Here is a 19,405-nt window from a genome sequence, read left to right as displayed (position 1 = left end):
ATTCCCCACAGTGCAGCACAACTGCTGTGGCAGATTGTGGCCAGACAGTTCCTTTAAGTGGGAGCCTGATCCACACCTCCTCACCAGGTGGGGCCTCTCTGCAGGAATTTCAGCAACTCCAGCCAGGATTTTACAGAACTCTGATCTTCCTGGGGTGGAGCCCCTGGACAAAGGGGCAGCCGTGGTCTCTGTGATTCAGCTGACTTAGTCTTTTCTGCCTGCTGGCTCCGGAGAGTCCAAGTGGTCTGGACAAGGGGGGTCCTCCCACCAGTGCAGTGCACCTGCTCCACCAAGGGGCAGCCAGACTGCTTTTTTAAGCAGGTTCCTGATCCCGTTCCTCCTGACTGGGTGAGACTCCCCCCAACAGGGTTCTCCAGACACCTCCTACAGTAGCGTTCAGGCTGCAATCAGGTCGGTGCCCCTCTGGGATGGAGCTCCCAGAGGAAGGAGCAGGCTGCCATCTCTGCTGTTTTGCAGCGTTCCCTGGTGATACCTCCAGGTGCGGGAGGGATCCAGCAATTAGGGTCTGGAGTGGACCCCCAGCAAACTGCAGCAGCCCTACAGAAGAGGGGTCTGATTGTTAAAGGAAAAACAAATAGCAACAACAACATCAACAAAAAAGTCCCCCACAAAAACTCTATTTAAAGATCAGCAACCTCAAAGATAGAAAGTAGATAAACCCAAAAAGATGAAAAAGAATCAATGCAAAAAACGCTGAAAACTCAAAAAGCCAGAGTGCCTCACCTCCTCCAAATGACTTCAACACCTCTCCAGCAAGGGCACAGAACTGAGCTGAGGCTGAGATGGCTGAATTGACAGAAGTAGGCTTCAGAAGGTGGGTAATAACAAACTTAACTGAGCTAATGGAGTATGTTGTAACCCAATGCCAAGAAGCTAAGAATCATGATAAAACAGCACAGGAACTGATAGCCAGTTTAGAGAGGAACATAACTGACCTGATGAGCTGAAAAACACAAGAATTTCACAGTGCAATCACAAGTATCAATAGCAGGATAGACCAAGTGGAGGAAAGAATCTCAGAGTTTGAAGACTATCCTTCTGAAATAAGATAGGCAGACAAGAATAGAGAAAAAAATGAAAAGGAATGGAGAAAACCTCTGAGAAATATGGGATTATATAAAAAGACCAAACCTGTGACTGATTAGGGTACCTGAAAGACATGGGGAGAACAGAACCAAGTTGGAAAACAGACTTCAGGATATCGTCCAGGAGAACTTACAAAACCTACAGAATGGGAGAAAATTTTTGCAATCTATCCATTCGAGAAAGGTCTAATATCTAGAGTCTATAAGGAACTTAAACAAATTTCCAAGAAAAAAATACTCATTAAAAAATGGGTAAAGGATATGACCAGACACTTCTCAAAAGAAGACATACATGTGTCCCAAAAACATATGAAAAAAAAAACAACTCACCATCACTGATGATTAGAGAAATGCAAATCAAAACTGCAGTGAGATACCATCTCACACCAGTCAGAATGGTGATTATTAAAAAGTCAGGAAACAACAGATGCTGGTGAGGTTACGGAGAAAAAGGAACAATTTTACACTGTTGATGGGAGTGTAAATTAGTTCAAGTGTTGTGGAAGACAATGTGGCAAGTCCTCAAAGTTCTAGAAGCAAAAACACCATTTGATCCAGGAATTTCATCACTGGGTATATAACCAAAGGAATATAAGTCATTCTATTATAAAGATACATGCATGCATATGTTCATTTTAGCACTAGTCACAATAGCAAAGACATGGACTCAACCCAAATGTCCATCAGTGATAGACTGGATAAAGAAAATGTGGTACATATACACCATGGAATACTATGCAGCCATAAAAAGAATGAGATCATGTCCTTTGCAGAGACATGGGTGGAGCTGGAAGCAATTATCCTCAGCAAACTAATGCAGGAAGAGAAAACCAAACATCATATGTTCTCACTTATAATTGGGAGCTGAAGGATGAGAACACATGGGTGGGGAAACAACACACACTGGGGTCTGCTGGGGAGGACAGGGGAGGAAGAGCACTGGGAAGAATAGGTAACGTATATTGGGCTTAATACCTAGGGGATGGATTGATCTGTGAAGCAAACCACCGTGGCACTTATTTACCTATATAACAAACCTGCACATCCTGTACATGTACTCTGGAACTTAAAAGTTGAAGAAAAAAAAAAAGAAACTGTCACCCCACTGATTATGTATAGCTACACAAGTAAAAGTGTACCTTTAAAAAGGGTATTGTAGAGAACCCCAATTTAACTAAATTGTCCGCAATTACGGGGTAAACTGATATTATGTGTCTCCTTGATGCGATGTGAAGGAAAGCATGTACCACCCCTGTAGAAATTTTACCAAACATGTTTAACCTGAATCTGATTATGTGGAAACAATTATACAAATCTGAATTGTAAGACATTCTATGAAACAATTGATCTAGATGCTTCCAATATGTCAGTATCGTGAAGGTGATACACTTCTGAATTAAATGACATTTTAGAAACATAACAAGTAAATGCAGTGCAGAATCATGGATTTGTAAAAAGGTATAAAATCATTATTTGTAATATTGGATAAACAATATGATAATACTGCTGTACACATAAATTCGTGTGTTTGTGATATATTTCATTCTTAGGGGATCCATGCTGATATATATATATATATATATATGTATATATATGTCATATATATCATATACACATCATATATATCATATATATTATAACTTTCAAATGATTCAGAAAAACACATGCATAGAGAGACTATATACAGTTCTGGCAATTAGTGACACAAGTGTTAGTGAATCAAGGTGATGAAAATACTGTGTGTTTTTTTTTTAACATATATAAACTCTACTCCCATCACTCCTGCTCACTTCAGACACAGAGGCCAAAATATAAAATATAAAAGTAAATGTGGTAGGCTGAGTATATCTAAGGTAAGTATAGATAATTCCATGACTTTTGTTTGTGATGATGGTACCAGAATTTAAAACACAATGCAATAATTGATTTACTAATAATAAACTTATCTACCAAAAGGTTAAATTATATCATGTGTGTTAATTTAAAGATAATATAAGCCATCTAATATAATTTAGAAAATTCTTAACCTGCTTGCTAAAAGAGGGAGATTTTTGTTACCTGGAGAATTCAGTTATTTGGTATCTGCTTATTACCCTTGATATCCAAAAAAGGAAACTGTTTAGTAATTATTTGGTTGTTTTTCATCTACAGTTGTGTAAATTTAAGAAGCTATCACTTTGAAGGAAGGTTACACTGTGCAAATGTCATTATGTCCAATGAAATTTTGGCAATCTCATCCTTGCTTATAGAGTTTTAAAATTATATTTATTTTTTCCCTTCATAGACTGTGGATTTTGTGGGCATATACCATTTATTATGCTTTAAAAAATAATTTGCAAGACATAGTGTATTCCCTGGCACTCTAAAATTTCATAAACAAAGCAAAATAGGAAAACTTTAACACTGTGGAATTAGCAAATTTACATTCTGAGACACTGCTAATTTTTATAGCTCTTTATAACTGCCAAAATAAAATATCATCACCTTAAAGATATTTTCAGTTCAGAAGATTTTTAATATTTCCCAAACTTTACACACCAAAATGTCGCAACGGGTGATGTTAGATATCCCAGTGATGGCTACAAACTCTCACTGGGATTGACAAGGGGAGGAAACATGGTTTTGCAACATATATATTTCCCTCAGTAGGAACTTGCATTGGCTGGTATAATGTGTGCAAAATGATTTCACTGTAGTAGGATCAATACTGTTATACTATAGCATATGTCTTTTCCATTTAATTCTTTTTGTTACACAATTTTTTTCAAGAGGTAGCTTTTTGTTTAAATTGTTTTTCTCATTGAAATGAAAACCTTCCCTAATTGTTTCTTTTGTAAGACTTTCACAATTTATTTACACATCTCTCATCAATGAATGAGATATAAGTTCTGTCCCCTTGAATTTGTGTTGGCCTTTGTGACTGACTCATTACAAATAGAATGTGGTGAATGTAACACCTCATGATTTCTGAGGCTAGGTAATTAAAGACAATGCTGCTTCTGCTATACTCAATGGAACATTAACTTTTGGAGCATTGAACTGTCATTAAGAAATCTGACTACCTTGAGATGAGCATGCTCTGAGAAAACCCAGGACACATGGAGAGGCCCTGTTTATGTGTTTTGGTCAACAAACACAGCTGAAGTCCCAGATTACAGCCAGTATTAAGCACCAGAAATGGGAGTGAAGACATCTCCAGATAATTCCAGTCCTCAGCCATTAATGTACCTACAGTGTGAAGTCTCCCTCACTTAGGCCCTATGCATTTTGGAACACAGACAAGCCATCTCACTTTATCTCAATTCCTAAACATAGAATCCATGAGCATCTTATTATGATCATTTTAAGCTGCTACATTTTGTGGTAATTTATCATGTAGTAATGGTACTGGGCTGAGAGGATCAAGTTGATACTTTATCTTGCTGGAGGAATTGGTGACAAGGATCTTATTATGTGCAATATTTTATCATATGACCTAGGCAAACTACAAAACTACACAAAAGCAAAGTGGATATTTCAGGCCAGACTATATGAGTTACAGAGATCACTATATATCTATATGAATAACTGTGCTGATTTGTCAACCAAGTTCATATAGGTGTATAAGCAGCTTCATAGCAACAAAGTGACAGGTGGCTGATCACTTATACATGTGCCCATGCTTGAACAGTGAGCATTGCTGACTGATCTTTGTCAATTTCCAAATCATTCTACAGAAACTTTATTAGGTGTTAGCAATTTCTAATGGCAAAGGCAACTGTAACTTTTTAGATTTGCCAATGCTAACTATATGTTGGCTGGTATTTCCAAAGTGACACAAGATAACTTAATTCTTCCTTTCTAGTATTTAACTTATTTGTCTGTATCAAAGTCATTTCTTGCCTTGTCCTCCCTAATTAGATTACATGCTCCTCAAAAGCAGAGCCTCTTTTTTTTCAATTATAAATCTACGTCGACATCTAGCTTAGCTCAGCATTTCGCTTTAGATGATCAAGTCATAACAGTGAAAGTAAAGTAAATTCTAAACAAGGATAGCCTTTGTTGCTGTTGTCATGTGTGTTTGGAAGGGCAAGAGCAAGCCTGTACCTCATATAGTATACTAAGAAAAAAGCCTGCTTTCCGCTTTACATACCAAAAAAAAAAAAAAAAAAAAAAAAAACTCTAACAATTTGTGCTCATAGGCAAGTCCTGAAAGAATACATCCAAAATTTTAAAGGCAAGCACTCTTGGAAGTAAAATTTTGGAGGGTATCAATGAGAAAGGGATTCACCTTGCAATGTATACATTTTGGTATAATTTGACTTTAAAAATTTTGACCAAATATATGTTACTTTATAATTTTTAAAACAAAAATTCATAATTTGCACAGATTACAATTAAAATTGCTTTTGGATTTCACCTTTGGAATGCTAATAATTTTTATTGCAGAGGCTAATGTAATACAAAGAGTTTTATGATAGCTTTTGGTTTATAATTTTTCTGTTGATTGGAAATTACACTCAGAAATCTAGGAAAGTCACCTACTAAAAACTTGAGACTTCCATACTTGCAGACATTCTACATTAAATCTTTGATAAATATGAATTCATACAATTATAAGACATTGATAGAGGTTTGCCAAAATGAATTAACAATACTATTTCCTGCTCCTCTGCTCAATTTTAAGGGACCCTCCATTCAGCTTTATATTACTCCAAGGTTCCTGCTGCTTCCATTCTTTGCAAGCCTTTTTTTCAAATTGAAGTATAATTAAAACACTGTAAATATATAGAGATTTTACCTGTTCAGTTTGATGAATTTTGACCATCAAAATTCCCATGTAACCACCACCCAAAGCAAAATGCAAAACATTTCCCTTACCACTTAATTTTCCTTCATGTTCCTTTTTGAGCGGACCCTGCCATCACTGCTCCCCGCATCTGGAATCAACAATTTTCTGATGTCTATCTCTGTAGATTAGTTTTACATGTTCCAGAACTTCATATCATAAAATCATAGGTTATACCTTTTTTATATCTGACTTCTCTTGCTCAACAATATATCTTTGAGAATCATCTATGTTATTGTTTGAATGAAAAGTTTATCCCTTTCATTTGCTGAGGAGTATTCTGTTAAATCAATATAACATATATTTTTCATATTTTCACCTGTTAATGGACATTTGGGTGGTTTCCAGTTTCTGTTATTATGAATGAAGTTGTGAGGAGTGTTCTTGTATAAATCTTTTTGTGAACACATGTTTTCACTTATCTTGGATAAGTACCTAGAAGAATAGTCAGGTTTTGACATCAAGATTATATTGACCTCATAGAATGAGTTGGGAAGTGTTCACTTCAATTCCTGAAAGTATTTGCATAAGAACTGCTAAATTAATGTGTAAAGCAATTTACTGGTAAAGCTCTGTGAGCATCAATTTTTCTTTATATAAAAGATTTTAGTAATTCATTTTTGTAATGTATATAGATAGAGTTTTCAGTTCTATCTTACTCAGTTTTGTAAGTTGTATTCTTCTAAGGAATTTATCCATTTCATGTAAGTTGTTAAATTTATTGAGGTGGTGGTTTGCAAACCACCGTGGCACATGTATACCTATGTAACAAGCCTGCATGTTCTGCACATGTATCCTGGGTTTTTTTAAGAAAAAATAAAATAGAAATTAAAAAGAAAACCATATGTGCACACACGTGTGTGTGTGTGTATGTGTTTGTGTGTGTGTGTAAGTATTTTCTGGTTGCTCTAAGATATTCTCTGTACCTTTTGTTTTCAACAGTTTTATGATTATATGCCAAGTTATACTTTTCTTGTGTTTATGCTGTTTGGGGTTTGCTGACCTTGAATCTGTCAGTTGATGTAGTTAATCAACTTTGAAAAGTTCTTAGTGATAACTTCTCTTGATATCCTTCTGCCACAGATATCAGGTCTTCTGCTTCATTTTTTAGACTTTGTATTTGATTTTGGTAATTTCTGTTGCTTTCTTTCAAAATCATTCAGAGGAAGAGCTATGTGTTGTTAAGCCAATTGAATGAATTCTTCATTTATGGTATTGTGTATTTCTTTTTTCACTATATTTTCTTGTTATTTTTTATAATTTACAGTTCTATGGTTTATAGATTTCCAGTTTTTTATATCTTTTATTGCTTTGATGAATTTCTACACCTGTTCACGCATGTTACCTCCTTTGGTACTAGATCTTTTAGCCTCATTACCCTCATTATTTTAAAGTCATCAAGTAGTAATTCAGGCATTTGGGCCATCTCTGTATCTACTTATATGGAATATTTCCTCTCTTGATCACAGGTCAATTTTTTTCTTCCATCTTTCACAGTTATTTATTTTATGCCAGACATTGTGTATAAAAGAACAATAGTGACCGGAATAATACTGTTTTACCACAAAATTGGTAAATTGTGTCTGCTCTCAGGTCTATAGATTGGATGACAAATTTACTCTGTTTTCAGGTAGGGTTTGAATTTTCTGCCAAGTTCAATTAAGTTAGGTTAATTATTGACTTTCAATATTTTGAGGTAGGGATCAATAATTTTACTTCAGCAACATTTGTGATCTGAGCACTGAAGTTCTAAAAATGTTTTTCAGGCTGGCTGCTATCTTTTAAAATTGGGAGAGATCACTCTGCTTTTTGCCTCCATGATGGATTGTTGGTTCTTTATAAAGTTCTCTTTGCTGATCAGTTCTCACCATAAACTTCCTGCATATCAGATCATCTCTCAGCCCCTTCCCAGCTTCCAGAGGTTAATTCAGTACACTTATTGGGAATTATATTAGCTCACTTGCTCTGAATTCAAACTTCAGCAGCTGGTAATCCACCTTGAAAGGTCTTGGTGCCTTGAAGGAATTTTTCTTAGTTTACATACACCGTACTCAGGTGCGGAGGTCAGCTCCAGTTCACTTGATGAAGAATTGATGTGCCTTATTAGGGAATTTTCTCATTTCTCCTGCTTTAAGCCTTCAGATGACTACTGCCTTGAACTTGGAGAAGGCCCTACGTACCTTAAGGATTATCTCTGAGCTCTCCTTCCTTGCACACAGACTTCAGTGTACTACTTCTGTGTGTCAAGTGAAAGTTTGTATTATAGGAAAGGTTTGGCAGGTTAGGGAAGACTTACTCTGGCTGGAACTCCTCAGGTTTCTAATACATCATGTCCTCCCAATCACAGCCATTTGTTAAAAATTTGGTTTCTTCTTCTTAATTCCAGCTATGGCAGATAACTTCTCCTACTTCTACTATGTTGCAGTTAAAGCAAACATGTACCTTTTCTTCTAAGCTTTCTCAATATTATCTAATTTGGATTTATTTGCTTCCACAGCTCTCCAACAGGCTTAATAATTATGCATGTCTTTATTCTGTTAAAATGGGAACAACTGTTTCTTGAGAATTTCTATATACCCATTTCTTCCACCCATAAGTGGAAGTCCCTGATTTTTTATAACACCTGTAGAATATAGCATACTGCTTCTTTCAAACAGTTATGCCCTATTCCAGTTCTTATCGCTCATATAAGCATCAAGTTTGCCCAAGTACTGAAGCATACAACATCAACATGAAATTCCCTGAACATATTTTCAACTCAGTGGCTAAAAGAAAATAGAATTAAATGGTATCTTTTTTGACGAATTACATACCTGCATTAGTTTTCTATTGCTGTTATAACAAGTCATCACAAACTTGGGGCTTCAACAGGAATTTATTACTTTACAGTTCTGTAGGTCTTATGTCTGACACAAACCTCATTGGGCTAAAATCAAGGTTTCAGCAGGGCTATGTTCCTTTAGGGGGGCTCTAGGGAAGAACCTGCTTTCTTCCCTTTTCCAGCTTTTAGAGGAAATCCATATTTCTTGGCCCTTGGTCTGCTTCCTCTGTCTTCAAAACCATCAATGTTGCATCTGTCTGACCCTAATTCACATAGCCGTATCTCCCTCTCTGACTCTCCTCTTCTGCCTTTATCACTTATAAGGACCCTTGTGATGACATTGGGCCCACCTAGATAATCCAGGTTAATCTCTCTATTTTAAGGTCATCTGATTAACAGCCTTAGTTCCATCTATATCCTCAGTTCCCCTCTGCCACATAACAGAACATACTGGCAGGTTCTGGGAATTAGAATTTGGGTATCTTGGTGAGGAGGGACTTATTATTCTGCCTACTCCTCACTTTTATTATTTAGAATTCCCAGAAATTGATTAGTATCATTTCATCAAGAAGATCATTCTAATTCTTCAGGAGTTTACACATACCATGATTAACTTTCATTCTACTCTCATGGAAACAATTATGAAAAATTAAAAAATATATCAACCCAACAAAAATGACAGTACCCTCAAATGCTAATACTTAAAATCATTTTTACCAGTGTTATTAAATTTTACAGCATAGATATGTTTTACACTTTTATAATACTTGAATTTACAAGTATTAATAAAAATACATATAGAAATTTAATCTTAAATGTATTTTCTTAAACAAATTAAGAGTAAATTACATGTTCAAGTGATTATTATGTCAAATATTTTATTGGCATAGTTTAACTAGCTTGAGGTATTATCACAAATCTATCTGATAAAGGAAAAATATGTTTTGTTCTGAAGAAAACATACTATGGGATAAAAATATGCTGGGAACTGGGTGGCAGAAAGCAAGTCATTTTTTATAGTATCCCAAGCATTTTAATGGAGAGCTATTTATCATGCTTTCCTATTATCACTTGGTATTTGAACCATAAAGGTAATTAACTAGGAGTAAGTGAACCGAATAATATGCCTACCCCTGTCCACCCTTTATCAGCATGACTTTATGATGCACGGTAGTAGGAGAGATGTTTTAGCTGGGAGGTAAAAAAATAAAATATTAATGCTTTAAATATTGAATGCCTTTATGCCTTTAGAGCAATGATTCAATAATGTGAGCCAGGCCTTGGGATTTAAAGGTGTTAGAGTTACACCTGAGTAGCATAGGCGTTCCTTTGCCAGACCCAAATATCCTGACCCATAACTTCTACCTGGGACTATCACTAGAATCCCTCACTTAGAAACATTGCCATGCTCACTAGCTATAAGGATTGATAGATCAAATTTAATTTATAATATATTGTCTGTGAAACCCTTGCATATTCACAGAATGGTTAATTATAAATAACACAAAATCATAACACTAAATTCTCAAAACAAATAACAGGCTTTTTTGGTTTATTTTCCTAATTTTGAGATGATAAGACATCCAGGAGATTAGGAGATTATTATATTTTGACATGCGACAAAATATCCTGAAGAATGAAAAAAAAAAAAACTTTTTTTTTGAAGATGGGGAATTAGAAGTTGGGAGAATGTGTGACTCATGGAGAGAAAGTAGAAACTGAAACCAAAATAAATTAACAAAAGAATGTAAAGCCCAAAACAAGAAAATGGTTTACCCATCTAAATTCAGGGATATGAAGCACAGGGCATATATGTAAATTTAAAGGTCATATGTCAGGGAATAGGGAGACAAAGGAGGAAAGGGAATGAAAAAGTAGAAGTCTAAGAACTGTCTTTAAATCATGGCACACAATATACCTGTGGAGCTTTCTACCACGGCCTCATCCCTGCATTTTTCTCTTTTCGTATGTCAGGGAGCAATTCAGGCAAATGCATTTCTTGTTATTTCAATATGTATCCTATATCGTTATTTTTTACATTAATCTATCATTTGAAATTTCAGAGTCTGAGTCACAGAATACAAAAGTGAAGAGTCAGGTATATTCAAGGAAGGTTAACAGTCAAATGTATAAAGGTTTAATTAAACTACCTGTAATTTTCAGGCTATTCCACACAAGCCAATTGGCACGGTAGTATTTTGGGGAACAGATGTACATTTAGTCAGAAGTGTCAGTAGCAAAGGAAGAGCATTCGGAGGAGTCAGTTTATAGACCATTATAAGGGTGAGGTTCATTATTTGACATCCTGGAAAAAAATCAACTAGTTGGTGGAGTGATTTTTTATTTTGAATCTTTTGTCTGGTCTTGTGTATATCTTGCATCTAAGAAAATGCTTAGCACAGCAAGAGTCAACTTAGCAAGACTAATGTAGCAACAACTGCTATGAAAATTCTACCATTCGGAATGGGAAAGGGGGTGTTATAAATAAAAAATAAGGCCATCTGGTTGTTTACTTACACCTCTATAATAAATTATATGTAGCTATAATAATATTCATATTTTTCTAATATATAACCATAGTTTGCCCTATTCCATGGACTACCTTAATGGTTTCATTCAAATTATTTGTGATACAATGATGAATATGTATAAATTATAATATATGCTAAACAAAGGAAATACATGAATTAGAAAAAAGCAAAAACATTCTATAAATGCTTATGCTGTACTAAAATCTTGCCCTGAATTTAAAAAGGCAGTTTTTAAAATCAAAAATTTGTAGAGTCAAAGTATTAGGTGTTTATTCAAATGATAAAGTAATAATATGCTTTCAAACAGATGCAATAAGTAGTTCTTTAAAACACCTACACTAATTTATTTAAAATATTTAATTCACACACATTCACACGCACACACACACACACACACATCAATCAATACCCAACTATTACAAAAGCAGTTTTGTACACAATAAGGATACTTCTTTGATAATTATCTAGAGTTGCACATTATCTTTTTTGAAAAGCTTCTTTAGTGTCTAGAAATGTGTCCTCTTTTAAGCAAAAGTGATTTGTTTAGTCTAATGATGATGTAATTAAAAGTGTAAACCTAATGCTATTCTACTCAACAACCATAATTGTCCTTTGTTTTTCTGAAATTTCTTCCCCTTTAAGGTCACTAATAGTTTTGGTTTTTCCCAGGGACATACATAAAAGAAAACAGAGCTCATATTTTTTAATATACAAGGGAGACATTGCACGTGCATCCATTCAGCTGTGTTTTTCGTTGGTTAAATACAATATTCTGTACTTACTTTTTGTGTATTATTTGCTTTTCTCTTATTATAATCACTAGCTTTCTGCTCTGTCATTATTTTGCATGCCAAACATTAGGATTTTCCATCCTCTGTTATGATGTTAGGGCTTTTGATATTTTAATCACATTTAATTTAAAAATAAACCTGTATACATTTTTATCTTTGTGGATTTTTACCACATCTCTTGTAGCATTTTCTAATGCCAAGGGGAAAAGCATTGCTTTGCCAATACAATCTGATTTGATGTTTAAACAAAAGAGGCCTTTTTATTTTTATTGTTTTTAGTTCCAGTGGAACTATACAATTATAAATATTTTCAAATTCTGCTCTGTTATTTCCCTCCATTAAAATATGAAATTCTCTAACACACCTAGCATAATGTGCTCTACTTCTGAAACTTTCTGACTTGACATGAGAAGCAATGTAGCATATGGAAAAAGCATGACTCAAACAGATTTAAGTTAGATCCCTGCCTTTGACAATTAATAATTGTGTCAATTAAGGCTAGTTTATTAATTTCCCCAAATCCCTATAGCTTCCTCTCTAAATGAGGGGAACATGCCCACTCTCTGAGATTCTATGAAGTTTAAATGAGAAAATGAATATAAAGAGCTGAGTAACAGCAAAGCTTTACCATAATGCAATGAATAAGATCTAGGAAATTCAATCCACATGGAGTCAACATGATGAAGAAATTGTGAATGTAATAGAATGACCACTACAAACCTGTACACCTAGTTGGTAGGAGTTCTCAGATTTCAGTTGCCAGATGCAAATCCACCTGGTTCTATGTGCATGTTGTTGTCACCTGACGGGATTTGTAATTTTGGCTTAAATTCCCATGGGGATATTTGTGGAGTTTATGACTAAGATGATCAGATAAAATACAGGATGCCTAGTTCAATTTCAGATAATTTTTAGTGTAAATATGTCCCCCCAAGTACTTCATGGGGAGGGAGAGAAAGTGATAAAGTGAAGTTATGTGTCTAGTTATACACAGACGTTGTTTGAACAATAAGGTGATGGATCCCTAGGGTATGGGATCTTCATTTCCAGGCCTAGACTGGGAGATGCTGCAAAGCTTCCATAGGAGTCCCAAAGGCTGTATGGTGCCACATCTGACATGGCACAAGAAGGAAAGCAGAGCATGGTAGTCTGTCAGAGGATCTTCAACCTTTTTTTGTGCTACAGAGTCTAGTGCCTATGAACTCCTTCCCAAAATATGGTTTTGAATACATAAAACATAATATATGGTATTGTGAAGGAAATTCATTATATTAAACTATAGTTAACAAAAAAATTAAAACAAATTGTGATATTGAGATATATTTGCTTTTAATTGGGACATTAAGTAATAAGAACTATTGGTAAATCTAAAAATCTATAATTTCAAAATAGTAAACAATTCAAGTCATGCACAAAATTGCAATGTAATACTAAAATTATTTCTATTGGTAAAAACTCATAGGTAATGTTAAAAGTACTGTGGTATGTTACCTAAATTCATGATCATAGAAAATACCAAATTTAGCTTAGACATTATGAAAATAAGGTTGTAAGATTTTTTTTCTAATCTCAGGGCACTGACCCCATAAATTCTAATCATGAACCCCGTAGGGTAATTAATTTAAATTAAAAATCTCTGAGATAATGTACTGACTTTCACAGAAGTCCCTCCAACCTTTTATTATGAAAATGTTTAAACTTTAGGTCAAAGTTGAAAGAGCTTTATAGTTATTGTTTTGTATACAGAGTGATTCAGAGTCTTCTATAAGTCACCCCCCCTCCACCTGACCTCTTTAGATAACAAACAACAGAAAGAAGCTGAAAGGGTAGGTGGACCATCAAAGAACTCTTTTAAAGAGAACTGTATAAAAGATGAAGACCTTGAGACAGGATATGATCATAGGTCCATAGTCAGCAGCACTAGACGACAGTGTTTTTTCAAAGGGAAGGTGATTGCAGCCAGTTCAGGAAGAACAAGGCACTACCATCTTAAGGCAAACAGGTCAATCTGACCATGTTTTGTGGCAAAAAACATTGCTATATAAGATTAATTTAACTGGTACATCGGGGTAGTTGTCATGCAGTGTCAGAGATGTACTCTTGAATCAAAGAAAATAAAGAAGTCTAGTACAGTTTAGTCTGGTGGAAAAGACTTACTCCAGTTCAAAGGAACTAAGTTTTTACCAAAGGGAAAGCAAAGAATCTGTTTCTAGGGTATCTTAGACTTACGCATTCGTATCAACCTGAGGTATTTTTTCCTTTTTTTTTTCCAAGACAGTCTCGCTTTATCACCCAGGCTGGAGTGCAGTAGCATGATTTCGGCTCACTACAACCTCTGTCTCCTAGGTTCAAGAGATTCTCCTGCCTCAGCCTCCCAAGTAGCTGGGATTACAGGCATGCACCACCACGCCCAGCTAATTTTTGTATTTTAGTAGATAGAGATGGGGTTTCACCATGTTGGCCAGGCTGGCCTTGAACTCTTGACTTCAAGTGATCTACCCGCCTCAGCCTCCCAAAGTGCTGGGATTACAAGTGTGAGCCACTGTGCCCAACCAACTTGAGGTATTTTTTCAAACGTTCAAATTTTACTTAAAGGTATAGTCACAGAAAGAAAATACAAGCTGGATATTAAGAAATTTAAATCTGCTTCATAGTTAACAATACTAATGGTAAGAGCACGAAAACATATTCTGAGCTCTCTGAGTCTTTTTCCTCATGATCTAAGGAGAGGGTTGGACTAGAGAGTGCCTGGACATAACATTAAATGATTCTATAGCATCTACCACATTAGATAATGAAGGACACAAACAACATGCCATTTGGCAAACACACACACAAAATATAGTTTTTAAAGGCATTGATATTTTTGTTTGCTTTGTGTGTAAGACAAAGGCAAATTTAAGCATTTCTAAGCTGCAGATTTTGCTTCAGGAGTGGTAATATTTCATGGAAACTTACGCAATGATGTTATCATACATCATTTCTCATATGGGACCAGGCAACATGAAATGTTCCATAATACCAAACCCATAAAGAAGGGAGTGATTCCATTCAAGGCCAAGTGAAGTTTTTAGATAATTCAAATTTTTCCTTTAATTACAAAAATCTTAGATTAAAAAATCCATCCAAGAAGCAGTTTAACAATGCTATGGTGATGTCAACAAAATATATTACAGTTAATTGTAGCCCGTTTATTGAAAACATGAAGATTGTAAGGCTGTGCATCAATTATTTTACCATGATAAAAGGCAGCTATAACCTCAAGGAAATTTGGAATGTGTATGACTCATTATTCATACCCTAAATGTACTCAGATTACTCTTTTATTTTGTTTTTTTTTCTCAAAACATATTAGAATTATTTTCTGATTTCTCATGCACTTTCAATTTAGCAGTAATTACTTCTGACAATCATCTGTGTGCTCATTTTTGACCAGCAGCTTCATACTTTGTTAAGCTTCTTAAGTTAAACAATTAGAAAAGCAAATCTCAAAAAAATAAGAAGGAAGAAGAAGAAAGAACAAGAAAGAAGAAGAAAGTGGAAAGAAAGTGGAAATAAGGTATGAATGATGACCTGAGAATATTTTCTTTATGCTAAGGATATTGAATGAGTGACATTGATTTCAAATGCTCTGAAGCTTTGAAAATGTTTCCATATTTCTAAGCAACATTCTGGATACATGGGTCTCTTGAAAATAAGCCTTGTATAAGCAGTGTTATTGTAATGTTCTGTAATGTCACTAGAAATTTATTTCCTTTATATTCAGTGTCCACACGGAATAAGAACTTCCTGGTTCTTCTTTTTTTTCTTCTTTTTTTTTTTTTTTTTTTTTTTTTTTCTGAGACAGAGTCTCCCTCTGTTGCCCAGGCTGGAGTGCAAGGGTGCGATCTTGGCTCACTGCAGCCTCCGCCTCCCAGGTTCAAGGGATTCTTCTGCTTCAGCCTACTGAGTGGCTGGGATTACAGGTGCGTGCCACCATGCCCTGCTAATTTTTGTATTTTTAGTAGAGATAGGATTTTACCATGTTGGTCAGGCTGGTCTCGAACTCCTGACCTCATGATCTACCTGCCTCGGCCTAACACAGTGCTGAGATTACAGGCATGAGCCACTATGCCCGGCTCATATTTTATATTATTCAAACATTGGTTTGTCTAAGCATGAAGATTGAGAGCAGATATCTTTTCTCTTAAGCAAAAGATACTTAAGAACACCAGCCATTAAAAATAACAGACAGTAAAGTGAAAAGGAAGTTGAATTTAAGAGCATTGCAACAAAATGCCAAAACTACTTTTCATGCCTGTGACTTCTACATCTATAAAATTCAGTGACAAATATGTATGAAACACATCATATCAGCACAGATCTGAGGTCTTGATGGTTGCCTCAGATTGTGTATACATGTTTATGATTATGTATACATATGTATGTGTGTGTGTATGGAGGAATATATATATAATTATGGGCGGAATATTTTTCTATCTCCAAATCATATGCTAATCTGTATTAAATTCTTCATGTTTTAAAGAATTCAACATAAAACATATAAATGCAAATTAATAGATTAGAAAAAAATTTACTTACCTTTTTTTGGTAAAAAGAATATGCCATTTTGTCCTTATTTCCTCACTTCTATAATTCCTTATGACTGTTTATACCTTTCTGGGGGAAAAGGAAGTCTTTATTTTCTAGGACTTGTGAAATATTGGGAAAATAAAATAATTTCAAAATATCACTATGCAGTAATGATAATATGAAATAACTAATCCCTGTAATTAAAAGTGAAATCCCAAAATACCTTCTGTTTTTATGTTTTAAAGTTATTTAGTTTTCTCATTAAGACCATTGTAACATGCAGCTTCTCAGAAATATTATCTGTATTTACTAGAAACATCTAAAAGTATTTGTTGCACCAAAAATTTTTTTAAAAAGGACAATTTATGTCATTTGCTATTTCTTCTTTTGTTAATATAATTGCAAGACTTCTAAAAACCCTTGTTTTCTTTAATATTTATCAGAATTTTTGGAAATGATTGAGTCTAATTTGGCAATTTATTGTGTCTTTATGATTCTTTCTTCATGAAGAAGATATTCATTGGAAGTTCTGAAAGTTTGGTAGATGATTTCCAATTTTCTCACCTGTGATTCAAACATGTCTAATTCTAATTCCAACTAGTGAGGCAGAACTAGCCTATCTATAAAAATTGTACTTTGATATATCCAGGTGTCTAGGAGTCAATTTAAAGGAAAACTTTTAAAATACAAGACAAAAGATATTAAAATGTGAGTACTTCTGTGTCAAAAACAAAGAGGAAACATGCAGGAGAGTAAATGTAACATTCAGAGTTGAAAAAATATAATAAATTGCCTCAAAAAATTTGATTTTGTTTCAGTCACATGTAATTTTATTATAGTATTTCTTTGCATTTCTATTTACTTCATTTTATTCTTGGATTTCCAGTTAATACACTTACCATCTGTATTAGTCTGTTTTTACACTGCTGATAAAGACATATCCAAGACTGGGCAATTTACAAAAGAAAGAGGTTTAATTGGACTTACAGTTCCACGTGGCTGGGGAAACCTCACAATCATGGCAGAAGGCAAGGAGGAGCAAGTCACATCTTACATGGATGGTAGCAGGCAAAGAGAGAGAACTTGTTCAGGGAAACTCCCCCTTATACTAACCAGTAGATCTTGTGAGTCTCATTCACTATCATGAGAACAGCACAGGAAAGACTTGCCTCCATGATTCAGTTACCTCCCTCTGGGTCCCTCCCACAACACATGGAAATTCAAGATGAGATTTGGGTGTGGACACAGCCAAACCATATCACCATCATAATTCTTTAATTGTTAAAAGTAGAAGATGGGATGGAGGTAAAAGTAATTACAGAATGGCAGAACAAATAACTTCATATATCACATAATACTGTTTCCAAAGTCTGGAACAAAGAATTCTTAACCAGGGAGTTTTATTTCCCCCTTAGCCTTGGCTTTCTGTATTGAAACTGCTTTATTAGGAATCAAGAGATAGCTGATAATTTCTCTAATAGCTTCTTTAATCTGCTTCAAGATTCCTTTAATAAATTGTTATCTCAGACACAAGGAAAGCTAAAAACATTCTTTAAAAATTCCTCAAATAAAATAACCATGTTGCATTAATATTCAGGGGAATATAATCTCCTTATTGTCCTGAACCCTGCCATTTTGTATTTTTCTTTAGCTTAATCTGATTCAAGACCCTTTCACCTGTATTTTCCAAAAAAGAAGTACTTTCTGTCTTCAAAAATGATTTTGAAACTGCATCATTAGGAATACACAGTCTTTGAAATGGCCATTTTTCTTGCAGAACTTCCCAGGTCTCAGATCAATTCCTCAGGCAGGATTGAAGGTCATGGCCCTTGTGCTTCTTTCTCTACATGTATGTCTGTGTTGGCCAGGGGTGAAGACAAAATTTATCTTCCTCTTCCCTGAGCAAATACCAGAGATAGAATTTTAGTTTTTTTATTTTCTTCTCCCATAACATTGTATTACATTAAGTCTCCACTTTGGTTGGGAAATTAAAGAATAGGCAAGTCCTTAGGGCTTTAAAAATGATAGGATATTATTACACTTTTGACACCTTACCAAACAGGCCTGCTTAAAAGCTAAATCACCTATTAAACAATAGGATATTTGGTGTAACAATATAAATGGCTTATGTATACTATTTTTTGATTAACATGTGTTTTATCTCCCACTGAGAGTAAAGAACAAGCTCTCTCTGTTTGAAAATAAACCCAGCTGTCAAATAATTAACTTTAACACAATTGGAAACCAAATAAGCATGCCAGGGTTTTACTAAAACATTTTTTACTTTCTTGTGATTATTACCATCTACTCATTAACTCCAATTTCAAGAAGCCTTAAGAAAAGTACATAAAATATTCTATTTGTGTATTTTATATAAGTAAATTTCTTGACCCAAAGTGTCTACAAACATACTATTTCCCATTTAAATAAAATTGGTTTTGTGTATTCTGCAATTTTTTTGGACCACTAAATGTAAGTGTAACCAAGGGCTCTGTCTTCATCTGACTCTATTTTGGTGACCTCATCTACTTTGATATATGGTATAACCTTTTTTTCTCTAGAAGTCTTGACTAAAATTTCCAAAGGCTTATTTTATGTCTCTGTTTCTTAAACAACATTCCAAATGTTAAAACTCACTTTTCCTACTAAAGTTCCTTTCCTTCTCGGCTTTCCTAAATAAATAAATCAATAACAAAATAAAAGTGTCATCTTTTTGCTGTTATACAGGTCTAAAACTTCAGAATCAGTATTGATTT

Source organism: Homo sapiens, chromosome X (assembly GCF_000001405.40).
Source record: "Homo sapiens chromosome X, GRCh38.p14 Primary Assembly".
NCBI classification, from domain to species: domain Eukaryota; kingdom Metazoa; phylum Chordata; class Mammalia; order Primates; family Hominidae; genus Homo; species Homo sapiens.
The sequence above is the reverse complement of the archived record's forward strand: the minus strand, read 5'-3'. Positions refer to the sequence as shown.